This window comes from Homo sapiens, chromosome 9, assembly GCF_000001405.40.
Source record: "Homo sapiens chromosome 9, GRCh38.p14 Primary Assembly".
In the NCBI taxonomy this organism is placed as follows: Eukaryota; Metazoa; Chordata; class Mammalia; order Primates; family Hominidae; genus Homo; species Homo sapiens.
The window spans coordinates 134,845,163-134,857,595 of NC_000009.12; the positions used below are offsets into that span (position 1 = coordinate 134,845,163).

A 12,433-nucleotide genomic window follows, 5' to 3' on the forward strand; every position below is an offset into this window, starting at 1 on the left:
TTCTTGAAGCTCTCCAGCACTGCCCTTCCAGCTGTGTAGCAGGATTAGACTCCCTAGCTCCTTGTGGCTAGAGGTCGGGGAAGGCACGGGGCTCGTTGCAGCCGATGACCTTGAGCCCACGTGGCATTCGCCTCTTCCGGTCTGAAGGTGTGGTTCCCTCGGGCACAGCACCAGCCATGTTTCGTGGAGGGGCTACGTCACCAGCAGGTTCCCTGAGTGAGCCCCCTGCCAGCTTGTGAGAACTGGTAGCAGGAGCAGGAGAAGCACATTTTTGTTTTATTAAAGCCACTGATGTCAGGGACTGTTGATTACTCTGCCGAATAACCTAGGCCAGTGGGTCTCCAGCAGGGTCCGGGGAATGGCAGCAATGGCACCACCTTGTTAGAAGTGCCAGTCCCTGAGCCCCATCCCAGACCTGCTGGCCCAAATGTTGTGGGAGAGCTGAATCATCTGAAAGCAGGTCTCTGAGCAACTCTGCTGCACGTTCAAGCCGGAGAGCCAGTAACCTAGGTGATCCGGAATTGTGTAGGTGCTTAAGGACGAGGCGACTTTCACAACAGAAGGGTGGTCTGCAGCATTGCCCAGGGAAGCTGGGGCCATTGTGAGAGGATGGGAGGCTGTTGACCCATGTCATCCACAGGCAGAACATTGGGTACAATTGTTTGATCACTGTGATAGCTCAGAGGTAGATTATGAACTCATAACTTGCAACCCTTGGGGAGGAGGCTTGACATGAAATGATGGTGGGCAGGCTGGATGCCTGAATTCCATGTGGCAAGGTACCACGTGGCAGACCAGCTCTGGAAAGAGCCAGGAATGAAAGGAAACGGCCCACGAATCAAGGATGCGCAGAGTTGGAAGAGGCAACCGTTTCCCAACATCAACTGTTTAAAGACCACATTGAGAGACGCCTTGAGGGACAAACGCCAGTTAAAACTCAGTCGTCATGAATTTGAGCAGCCCACCCCTTTCTTAAAATCCTGGAGTAGATTAGGATGGCGCCTAATAAATGCATTTGAGTTGGGAAAGCGACTCCGGCAATGGACGCTCACAGTCGTCAAAGGTTGATGGGTCTGAAGGTCCTTGCCATCGAATCCAGAAGAGGAGAGAGAGCAAGGCAGGTGGGCGGACAGTCGGCGTGGTGCCTGCTGGTGGAGCGGCCAGAAATGCACAGGTGGGCAGCTGATCTGTCCTCCGGAGAGGCATCCTGCAGAGGGGCCCCAGCCTGGTCTGGAGGAGTCAGTGGCTCAGACTCACAATGACCCTTTGACCATCCCAGGCAGCAGGAGGCTTGAGGTCCACTCGGCCGGTGGCTGAGCCATGGCACAGTTGTGGCCCAGAGTTGTGGGACTCCCCTCGCACCCGTCATGCAAGGGGACTCCCACGATTTCTCGGGGTTGTAGGTGACAGCTCTGGGAAGTTTCCTGGGGAGAAGGAACCCTGGAGGGAGGGTGCATGCCCCCAGTCTGCCTTCCTTGCCTTCCTCCTCCCACTGGCCCCAAGGAGTTCTGCCACCACATCCATTCATTCATCTGTTCATCCATCCATTCATCTATCCATCCATTCACCCTTTCATCCATTCATCTATCTATCCATTCATCTATTCATCATTTATCCATCCATTCATCCATCCATCCATCCATTCATCCATTCACCCTTTCATTCATCCATTCATTCATCCATTCATCCATCTATTAATCTATTCATCATTTATCCATCCATCCATCCACACATTCGTTCACCCTTTCATTCATCTGTTCATCCATTCATTCATTCATCCATCCATTCATCCATCTATTCATCATTTATCTGTCCATCCATCTATCCATCCATTCATCTATCCATCCATCCATCTATTCATCATTTATCCATCCATCCATCCATCCATCCATCCATCCATCCATCCACTCTTTCATTCATCCATTCATTCCCCCATTCCTTCAGTGGCAGTTCATTGACCACCTGCTGTGTGCCAGGCGGGAGCAGCAGGGGAGAACCCACCCTCAAGGAGATGCCACTCCAGGGGACACGGGCTGACCAAGACCCACAAGGCAGGGGTAAGGTGTGCCCAGAGGAATGAGACCTGAGGAAATGTAAAGGGGAGGAGACAATGTGCATGTGTGTGGTTGTGTGTGTGTGGGGGGGGTGATGTGCATGTGTGTATGGCACGTGTGTGCATGTGCTATGTGGTGTATTTTGCATGTGCTATTTGTGTTTATGTGAAGTGTATGTGTGTTGTGTGTGTACCTGTGTGTGTGGTGTGCCTGTGTGGTGTGTGTGTGTGCCTGTGGGGAGCTGTGCCTGTGTATGTGGTGTGTGTGCCTGTGTGTGTGGTGTGTGTGGTGTGTGTGTGTGTGGTGTATGCCTGTGTGTGGAGGTGGTGTTTGTGCATGTGCCTGTGTGGTGTGTGTGCTGGCGTGTGTATGGTATATGTGTGCGTGCCTGTGGGGAATGTGCCTGTGTGTGTGGTGTGTGCTGCATGTGTATAGTGTGCATGCCTGTGTGTGTGGTTTGTGCTGTGTCTGTATAGTGTGTGTGTGGGTGTGGTGTGTGTGCCTGTGTGTATGGGGTGTGTAGTGTGTGTGGGGTGGGGATTGAAGTGCTCTCCTGGGTGACCAGGGCCACTGGGAAGGTTCTCTCTGCCTGGAGCCCAGCGGGCAGGAAGGGCTTTGCAGGAGAGGGAACAGCAGGGCAGAGGCCAGAGGGAGTGGGGAGAGGAAGGGGAAGTGGGAGGGGGCTGGTGTGGCCTGAGCAGAGATGGGGAGGGAAGCCACACGGGGCAGTAACCCAGACGCAGGCTGGGGGCGGTGCAGACCCATGAGAGTGGGTCACACTCCGGCTCCAGGTGTTTCAAAGATGGGGTTGATGGGATTTGCTGAGAAGAGGAGGTCGAAAGTGAGACGAGAGAATTCCAGGAGATGCTCAGCCACAGGCATGACCCCCACAGTGCCGCAGGAGCACACACACACGCGCACACACGTTTACCCACTGACAGCTGTGGCCTGGTGAGACCAGGCTGAGGACAGCTGCCTCAGCGACCCAGGCTCAGATGCCACCAGTGCCCCATGTGGCCTCGGGGAATCTGCTGCTCAGAGCTCCTGTCTGCCCATTTGCACATGGGACCCATGAATGGAGGAGGCACTCTGGCCATGTGGCCAGAGGCCCCGCTCCTGTCCTGCAGATGTCTTGGTGACGAAACCCGATCCATGCATGTGGAGGAAGGTGGGGGCATCCCTGGAGCTGGCCTGTGCCAGGCCAAAGTGCTCCTTTGAGCTGCCCAGGGCTGTCCTAGTGAGTGTCCTCAGGCTCTGGCCACCCAGGAGGGCCAGGGGCGTCTGCATTCGGGAGTGGGTTGGAGAAGGGGACGATGGGAGAGCAGGAAGCTTTTGCAACTGCTCCAGGGCCATTGGGAGGGTGCAATTGGCTGACACCCGGAACTTCATTGATGCTTACCCCACGTGCCCTCTGTGTGGGTCCCGCTCCCAGTGCGGACACCACCTCCTAGCTCTCACTAGCTCATGCAGGCCTCTGGGGCCCTCCTGAATCCACACCTCCCAGGGCTGGGTCCTGGTTGTTCCCCAATGGGGAGCTGTGCCTCTCTATCACCAGCAGGCATGTGATCACACCTCCCAGGAAGCACAGGATCACACCTCCCAGGAAGCACGGGATCACACCTCCCAGGAAGCACGGGATCACACCTCCCAGGAAGCACGGGATCACACCTCCCAGGAAGCACGGGATCACACCTCCCAGGGAGCACGGGATCACACCTCCCAGGGAGCACGGGATCACACCTCCCAGGGAGCATGGGATCACACCTCCCAGGGAGCACGGGATCACACCTCCCAGGGAGCACTGGATCACACCTCCCAGGGAGCACCGGATCACACCTCCCAGGAACCACGATATCACACCTCCCAGGAAGCACAGGATCACACCTCCCAGGAAGCACAGGATCACACCTCCCAGGGAGCACCGGATCACACCTCCCAGGGAGCACCAGATCACACCTCCCAGGAACCACGATATCACACCTCCCAGGAAGCACAGGATCACACCTCCCAGGAAGCACAGGATCACACCTCCCAGGAAGCACAGGATCACACCTCCCAGGAAGCACGGGATCACACCTCCCAGGAACCACAATATCACACCTCCCAGGAACCACGATATCACACCTCCCAGGAACCACGATATCACACCTCCCAGGAACCACGATATCACACCTCCCAGGAAGCACGGGATCAGACCTCCTGGGGAGCACGGGATCACACCTCCCAGGAAGCACAGTATCACACCTCCCAGGAAGCACGGGATCACACCTCCCAGGAACCACGATATCACACCTCCCAGGAAGCACAGGATCACACCTCCCAGGAACCATGATATCACACCTCCCAGGGAGCACAGGATCAGACCCCCCAGGGAGCACAGGATCACACCTCTCAGGAAGAACAGGATCACACCTCCCGGGGAAGACGATAGCACACCTCCCAGCGAGTGTGAGATCACACCTCCCAGTGAGCGTGGGATCACACCTCCCAGGAAGCATGGTATCACACCTCCCAGGAAGCACAGGATCACACCTCCCAGGAAGCACGGGATCACACCTCCCAGGAAGCATGGGATCACACCTCCCAGGGAGCACCAGATCACACCTCCCAGGAACCACGATATCACACCTCCCAGGAACCACGATATCACACCTCCCAGGAACCACGATATCACACCTCCCAGGAACCACGATATCACACCTTCCAGGAAGCACAGGATCACACCTCCCAGGAAGCACGGGATCACACCTCCCAGGAACCACGATATCACACCTCCCAGGAACCACGATATCACACCTCCCAGGAAGCACAGGATCAGACCTCACAGGGAGCACGGGATCACACCTCCCAGGGAGCACGGGATCACACCTCCCAGGGAGCACGGGATCACACCTCCCAGGGAGCACGGGATCACACCTCCCAGGGAGCACGGGATCACACCTCCCAGGAACCACAATATCACACCTCCCAGGAAGCACGGGATCACACCTCCCAGGAACCATGATATCACACCTCCCAGGAAGCACAGGATCAGACCCCCCAGGGAGCACAGGATCACACCGCTCAGGAAGAACAGGATCACACCTCCCAGGGAAGACGATAGCACACCTCCCAGCGAGTGTGAGATCACACCTCCCAGTGAGCGTGGGATCACACCTCCCAGGAAGCATGGTATCACACCTCCCAGGAAGCACAGGATCACACCTCCCAGGAAGCATGGGATCACACCTCCCAGGAAGCACAGGATCACACCTCCCAGGAAGCACGGGATCACACCTCCCAGGAACCACGATATCATACCTCCCAGGAACCATGATATCATACCTCCCAGGAAGCACGGGATCAGACCTCCCAGGGAGCACGGGATCACACCTCCCAGGAACCACGATATCATACCTCCCAGGAACCATGATATCACACCTCCCAGGAGGCATGGGATCAGACCTCCCAGGGAGCACGGGATCACACCTCCCAGGAAAGCACGGGATCAGACCTCCCAGGGAGCACGGGATCACACCTCCCAGCGAGTGTGGGATCACACCTCCCAGGAAGCACAGCATCACACGTCCCAGGAAGCACGATATCACACCTCCCAGGAAGCACAGGATCACACCTTCCAGGAAGCACAGGATCACACCTCCCAGGAACCACGATATCACACCTCCCAGGAAGCACAGGATACACCTCCCAGGGAGCACAGGATCATACCTCCCAGGGAGCACAGGATACACCTCCCAGGGAGCACGGGATCACACCTCCCAGGGAGCACGGGATCACACCTCCCAGGGGAGCCACAGGTTCTTAATGGGACAAGGCCAGCGCTTAGCAGAAGTGTTCCTGGTGTTTCTTGGTGTCTGCCCATCAGTGGCCCCCACCTGGCTGCCTGTTGAAGTCATCCGGGGAGCCCCCTAAAAGTACGCATTCTAGGTCCACCTCTAGGCCTTCTAAGCCAAGCCACCCGCGGGGAGGTGGTGGTAGAACCTGCAGTGTGTGAGGTCCCACACCCCACCCCATAGGGTTCTCTGCTCGGCTACACTTGGAGCTCACTTCACTTCAGCGGCATGGAGACAGTAGCCCCACCCGTCCCCACACACCCGCACTTCTGCAGGAAAGGGCCTTCCGTCAGAGCCCACAGCGGGCTGGGCCTGCAGCTGAATGAAGTCAACTACTTAAACGTCCTGAAGAGGGAAGGAAACCACACTGAATAAAGTTAGAGGTGTGCACATGCAACGTTCTGCATGCTTTAGAGTTACAGGTGTGCACAGGTAGCATTGTGTGTGCTTTGGATGGAGTTGGAGGTGTGCACAGGTAGCATTGTGTGTGCTTTAGATGGAGTTGGAGGTGAGCACAGGTAGCATCGTGTGTGCTTTAGATGGAGCTGGAGGTGTACACAGGTAGCATTGTGTGTGCTTTAGATGGAGTTACAGGTGTGCACAGGTAGCATTATGTGTGCTTTAGATGGAGGTGTGCACAGGTAGCATTGTGTGTACTTTAGATGGAGATGGAGGTGTGCACAGGTAGCATTGTGTGTGCTTTAGATGGAGTTGGAGGTGTGCGCACAAAGCACTGTGTGTGCTTTAAATGGAGTTGGAGGTGTGCACAAAGCATTGTGTGTGCTTTAGATGGAGTTGGAGGTGTGCACAGGTAGCATGGTGTGTGCTTTAGATGGAGTTGGAGGTGTGCGCACAAAGCACTGTGTGTGCTTTAAATGGAGTTGGAGGTGTGCACAGGTAGCATTGTGTGTGCTTTAGATGGAGTTGGAGGTGTGCACAGGCAGCATTGTGTGTGCTTTAGATGGAGTTGGAGGTGTGCACAGGTAGCATTGTGTGTGCTTTAGAAGGAGATGGAGGTGTGCACAGGTAGCATCGTGTGTGCTTTAGATGGAGTTGGAGGTGTGCACAGGCAGCATTGTGTGTGCTTTACATGGAGTTGGAGGTGTGCACAGGTAGCATTGTGTGTGCTTTACATGGAGTTGGAGGTGTGCACAGGTAGCATTGTGTGTGCTTTACATGGAGTTGGAGGTATGCACAGGTAGCATTGTGTGTGCTTTACATGGAGTTGAAGGTGTGCACAGGTAGCATTGTGTGTGCTTTAGATGAAGTTGGAGGTGTGCACAGGTAGCATTGTGTGTGCTTTAGATGGAGTTACAGGTATGCACAGGTAGCATTGTGTGTACTTTAGATGGAGTTGGAGGTGTGCACAGGCAGCATTGTGTGTGCTTTAGATGAAGTTGGAGGTGTGCACAGGTAGCATTGTGTGTACTTTAGATGGAGTTGCAGGTGTGCACAGGTAGCATTGTGTGTGCTTTAGATGGAGTTGGAGGTGTGCACAGGCAGCATTGTGTGTGCTTTAGATGGAGTTGGAGGTGTGCACAGGCAGCATGTGTGTGCTTTAGATGAAGCTGGAGGTGTGCACAGGTAGCATTGTGTGTGCTTTAGATGGAGTTGGAGGTGTGCACAGGCAGCACTGTGTGTGCTTTAGATGAAGTTGGAGGTGTGCACAGGCAGCATTGTGTGTGCTTTAGATGGAGTTGGAGGTGTGCGCAGGTAGCATCGTGTGTGCTTTAGGTGGAGTTGGAGGTGTGCCCATGTAACAAACAGTGGGTGCTTTAGATGCAGACATAAAACATAAGCATATATTTTACATACATATCATAGGAAACATACCACTGCATGGAGATGTGGGAGTCAGATTTAAATATTTCTAATATAATGAAACTACCCAGAGCATAAAAGGGAGCCATTCATTCTGATCCAACAATCTCACAAATGAGACTTTGTCACGAGAGCAATTTCAACAGAGGAGAAGAAACAGGCTGAGGATCCAATCAAAGTGAGGCAGGCTGTCCAGGAAGGCCATGTGGCCGTCTGGGGGTGGTGGATGTGCAACTGTAGTACATGGGAAGAGCAGACCCGGCGACAAGGTCCCACAGCCCTGGGGTGACCACTGAGGCATGGGAGGCATGGATGTTTGTCCAGATTTCCCCTGACAAAATGGCCTGCAAGATGAGAAAGCAGCATCCCCATCCTTGCCCAGGGGCCCTGGGAAGCCCATCCTGACCTCCCAGCAGTGTTCAAGGGGACGCTGCTCCCCCAGGAGAGCCCCTCCAGACATACAAGGCTCAGGCACACAGCCTGTGTTTCCAGTATGGCCAGGTCTCCAAAGGACTCTGAGGTCTGGGAGACCATCCCCAGCTCTGTGGGCTGTCCCCATCATGCCCTCAGCCTGGGAAAGATGGCAGGGGATGGAGGGACTGGGCCTGCTCCTCCTCCCCTCCTGCCAGCTCCCCTCCCAAGCTGGGAGAACTTGCAGGCTGCCTTGGCTCGACTCAGGTTGGGTTGTGATGACCCAGTAGCCTCTCTTGGAGACTGGGGACTGTTTCTGTACCCCAGCCAGGAAAACACCACTTTCTAGTAATATCCCAGGAGTGAATACTTCCACAAAAGCCACATGCACTTTCTGCCCCAAACATCTTGCTTTTTTTCTTTCCAATTGGCAAATGGAAATCACGTAGGTTTGGGAGAAGCCTAATTCCCCGACATCTGTTGAGAACTGACATGTTTAACAGAGCAAGAATCTCACTACCCTTTGGGACTTTCTCAAATTCATTTTAAAACTAGAAGCCACTAGACTGAATGCTCCTTAGAAGGGTCGGGATGATTTCAAAGACTCTTCCTAAAGGTGGGAGACTGATCATATAAGGGCAGCCTGCTCTGTGCTTGCGTTCTTTACCGCTGTATCACAAATGATCCCAAAGCCTGGAGGCTCAAAACCACACCTGTGTGTCATCTCACAGCTTCCGAGGGTCAGGAATCCAGAAACATCTCAGAGGATCTCTGCCTCGGGATCCCTCTTGCCCCAAAATTGCAATCAAGGTGTCACCCAGGACTGGGGTCTTATCCGGAGCTCATCTGGGGAGAGCTCCACTTCCAAACTCACTCACTGTGGTTGGCAGCATTCGGGTCCTTGAGTGCCATTGGACTGAGGGCCTCAGGTGGTGACTAGCTGTTGGCTGGAGGCCACCCTCAGTTCTTTATGATGTGGACCTCCCAGCACAGCCACCTGCTCCATCACAACCACAAGAGGAGAGTCTGCTAGCAAGATGGAAGCACCATCTTTTATGCCAATCACAGAAGGGATGCTCCATGTCCCTTGCTATATTCTGTGGGTTGGAAGCAAATTACTACGCCCAGCCCAGATTCAAGGGGAGGGGACTCCACAAGGTTGAGGGAGCAGCTTGGGGAGCAGCGGTGCCAGCTTTGTGTCAGCCTGCTTAGGGTTCGGGAGGCGTGAGTGTCGATGCCTGTGTGCTCTTCAACTCTGGGACCTGAAGTGTGTTTCTTAAACATTCATGCATGGGATGGGTCAGAAGCGAGATGTCCGGCTGCCTGGTTCCCTCATCCACAAAACAGACTGTGCTTCCACAGCTTGTAGGGTCAGATGAGTTCATGGCTGGGACACGCTTTCTCCCAGGGCCCCAGCAACTGTCATGCACTCAATCACACCAGTGCTGCTCACCATGTGCTGGCCAGGGGATCTCAGGGTGCCACTGATCACAGAGCAATCTCTTAGTGTCCAGAACCTGCGGGCTGTGCGGCCTTGGCTTGGCGAGTGCGTATCTTGAGAGAAGAGAATGTCCTGCCTGCGATGACCTCAAGTACACCCAGAGACCAGACTCACAACTGAGACCCCCAACCCCCGAGAGCCACCCAGAGGTTAGGAACCCCCAGGCTGAGCGCCGAGCCTGCTCCAAGCTGGTGGAGTGTTCAGGACGGGCTTCCAGGAAGAGGTGAGATCTCACCTTCCACAAGAAGGTGGAACGTGGAGACGTACCGAAGAAGCCATTTGGATACCTTTCTCAAGCACGCCTTTGTGATGTCTGTCTGTCTGTTGGAGGTCTGCATGGAATGCTGTTCTTGGAAGAGCCCTCTGCCCTTTGCGCTTGGAGGCTGGATCCTAGAGCTGACCCTCTGTAGCTCTCTCCCAGATTCCAAAAGAGGAGAGTGCAAAATGAGAAGAGGTGGCCGTCCACAGTGGGGTAGAGGGAGCCCCCTTTTTCATAGCTGGAGCCAAGACAACCAGGGTGGGAGCTTGGGCCACATGCCGCCAGTCCACATTGGTCCAGCTCCAACCCTGTCCCACGGCAAATGTCATGGGGGAGACAGCCATTCCCTCAGGTGAGGCAGGTGGAGGTCGATGTGGGCCTGGGAATAGGGCCATCTGGCATTCGCTGTGCCCCACCTGAGCTCCCACTGCCCATGCAGCACCAGCAGGCTCTGGGGAAGGATGCAGATCCCAGGTGAAGTGGATCTGACCCAGGCCTGGAATGATGAATTCCCAACTTCCCTGACCCTGCCTGTGTCTGCCTCAGCTCAGGGAAAGCCGCCCTGCTAAGCTGGGTTCCTCCCTCCCGGGGGCATCCCAGGTGTGAGGAGTTCCACGGGGCTGGCTGGGTGCAAGCCTCCCACCCACTCCCAGCCACGGTACTGATGCCAGATGCCACGCCACTTTCTCAAGTTCTGTTGGCTTCGACTCTTCCTGGAAACACACCACTCCCGTCTCATGCTCCCCAAGGCAGGGCAGGCTCCACGAGCCCGTGGCTCTGCCTTACCTCCCTGGAGCCTTGCCCACCCAACTTTCGTGCCAGGCATGGGAGTCGATTAGATCAGTGCCGGGCACGCAATAAAGACTGTGCTAGTGGGAGTCAGCCATGATCATCTCGTTCTGCACTTTCTTGAGAGACAGAGGCAGGGCAGATATTGAAGCAGGAGCGTAGCCTGGCCCAGGGCTTTGGTTCTGATGAGAGTAGGCAGGGAGCGGGGGGCACCGTTTGTCAAAGCTCCACATTCAGGCTCATGGTGGGCATGGAAGGTGTGGATCTAGGCTCCACGCTTGGAGCCAGGTGACAAGAGAAGATTGGACTAAAAGAAGAGAGCTGCTTCTCCTTCACCCTCAGGGGAGCCTCTGGAGACAGAGGGCAGGGCCTGGGAGCCCCCGGAAAGGGCTGACAGTGTTCTCACACTTGAGCCTGCTTCAGAGCCACCTGGAAGTTTTCCTAAAACCGTTTGCAGGGTGCCCTCTAGCTCCCCCTCAACCCCTCCCTCCCTGCTAAGGGCCTGGTTCAGTAGGTATGGGGCGGCACCGAGAATGTGTGTTTCTAGAAAGTGTACAGGTATTGCTGCTGCTTGAAATAGGCAGGATTTGCTAGGCTTCCCAGACTTCTCTCAACCCAGCCAGGTCATACTCAAAGTAAGGTACCTCCTACCCCGTGGATTCACAAAAATACACCCCCAAGCTTCCTCTGACACTAAAATTCCACTGTAAAGAAATTCACTCCTCCCATATAAGGCTTGGAATATCATTAAAATCCAAGCGTCTCGAAGACTCGACAGGTGTGTTGTTGTTGTTTCAGATGCAGTTTCAATGTTTCGTCCAGACTGGCGTGATCTTGGCTCACTGCAACTTCTGCCTTCTGGTTTCAAGCGATTCTCCTGCCTCAGCCTCCCGAGTAGCTGGGATTACAGGCATCTGCCACCACGCCCGGCTAATTTTTGTATTTTTAGTAGAGATGGAGTTTCACCATGTTGGCCAGACTGGTCTCGAACTCCTGACCTCGTGATCTGCCTGCCTCAGCCTCCCAAAGTGCTGGGATTACAGGCATGAACCACCATGCCCGGCCAGGTGTTTTTCTTATAAACCACTCTAGCAAGGTTCTGATCCTTTGGTAGAAATCAATTTGACAACCTTTATTTAGGGTAGAGTTTTGGCACAGAAGAAAAGATCCTGAGAAAGAAGAGAAAGTGTGGAGGGCTCCTCTAATGGATGGAGGCCAAGAGTGTGCTGCATGTGGCACTAAGAGCCAGTCTCACCCACTTCATCACTCATCACGGAGGAAGGTGTTATTTCTCTCCTGTTTGAGACCCCGCTGGATGTAACTATGGGTGGAGGACACTGCGGTCTCACATACTGGTTTGTTCCCCCCTAGTTGGCATCTAATTTCCCTCTGAGAGAAGAACATGATTGCTGCTCAAAAGAAAGAAGAATGAAGCACCTGGACAAGAAGCGGTTTACAGATGAATGAGGGAGGGGAATGCACAGTTGAGACAGCATCATAAGAAATGTCCTGGCGGAAGGGACGTAAACGCATTATGTGTAGATAATAAGAGTGTTCCCCATTTGGTCATAGGGTGGATGAATAGTGAAAGACAGTGCAGGAAATCAGGCGTGGCCTGGAATATGGATCGTGGCTTTGAACCCTTTACAAGGCTTACACTGTGTTCAGGAGCAGTGGACACACATCCAGGGACAGGGTTTGAGGACAGGAGATGGATGTAATCACAGCTTGGCTTTAAAAATGTGCCCATTAATGATAGACTGGA

The 12,433-nt window shown here is 54.4% G+C and overlaps 1 long non-coding RNA gene and 7 other non-coding genes across 8 annotated transcripts in view, besides 1 other annotated feature; all 8 read right to left on the minus strand.

Moving 5' to 3' along the window:
- LOC101448202 (uncharacterized) overlaps nt 1-12,433 on the minus strand; it is a 53,204-nt gene that overhangs the window by 25,748 nt on the left and 15,023 nt on the right. The window lies entirely within an intron of this gene.
- Nucleotides 123-623: an enhancer, noted in NCBI's record as "H3K4me1 hESC enhancer chr9:137737131-137737631 (GRCh37/hg19 assembly coordinates)". NCBI's record gives its function as "activates a minimal SCP1, AML or CMV promoter by ChIP-STARR-seq in primed H9 embryonic stem cells {active_cell/tissue: H9 hESC(primed)}" and the evidence as "EXISTENCE:reporter gene assay evidence [ECO:0000049][PMID:30033119]".
- On the minus strand, nt 4,136-4,207 carry MIR3689C (microRNA 3689c). Its single transcript, NR_039691.1, has one exon. It is a non-coding gene; the product is annotated as a microRNA 3689c (primary transcript).
- Nucleotides 4,325-4,402, minus strand: MIR3689A (microRNA 3689a). The gene has a single exon (NR_037460.1). It is a non-coding gene; the product is annotated as a microRNA 3689a (primary transcript).
- MIR3689D1 (microRNA 3689d-1) lies at nt 4,447-4,520 on the minus strand. The gene has a single exon (NR_039693.1). It is a non-coding gene; the product is annotated as a microRNA 3689d-1 (primary transcript).
- Nucleotides 4,963-5,110, minus strand: MIR3689B (microRNA 3689b). The gene has a single exon (NR_037469.1). It is a non-coding gene; the product is annotated as a microRNA 3689b (primary transcript).
- Nucleotides 5,115-5,194, minus strand: MIR3689D2 (microRNA 3689d-2). Its single transcript, NR_039694.1, has one exon. It is a non-coding gene; the product is annotated as a microRNA 3689d-2 (primary transcript).
- MIR3689E (microRNA 3689e) lies at nt 5,408-5,479 on the minus strand. The gene has a single exon (NR_039695.1). It is a non-coding gene; the product is annotated as a microRNA 3689e (primary transcript).
- MIR3689F (microRNA 3689f) lies at nt 5,580-5,645 on the minus strand. The gene has a single exon (NR_039696.1). It is a non-coding gene; the product is annotated as a microRNA 3689f (primary transcript).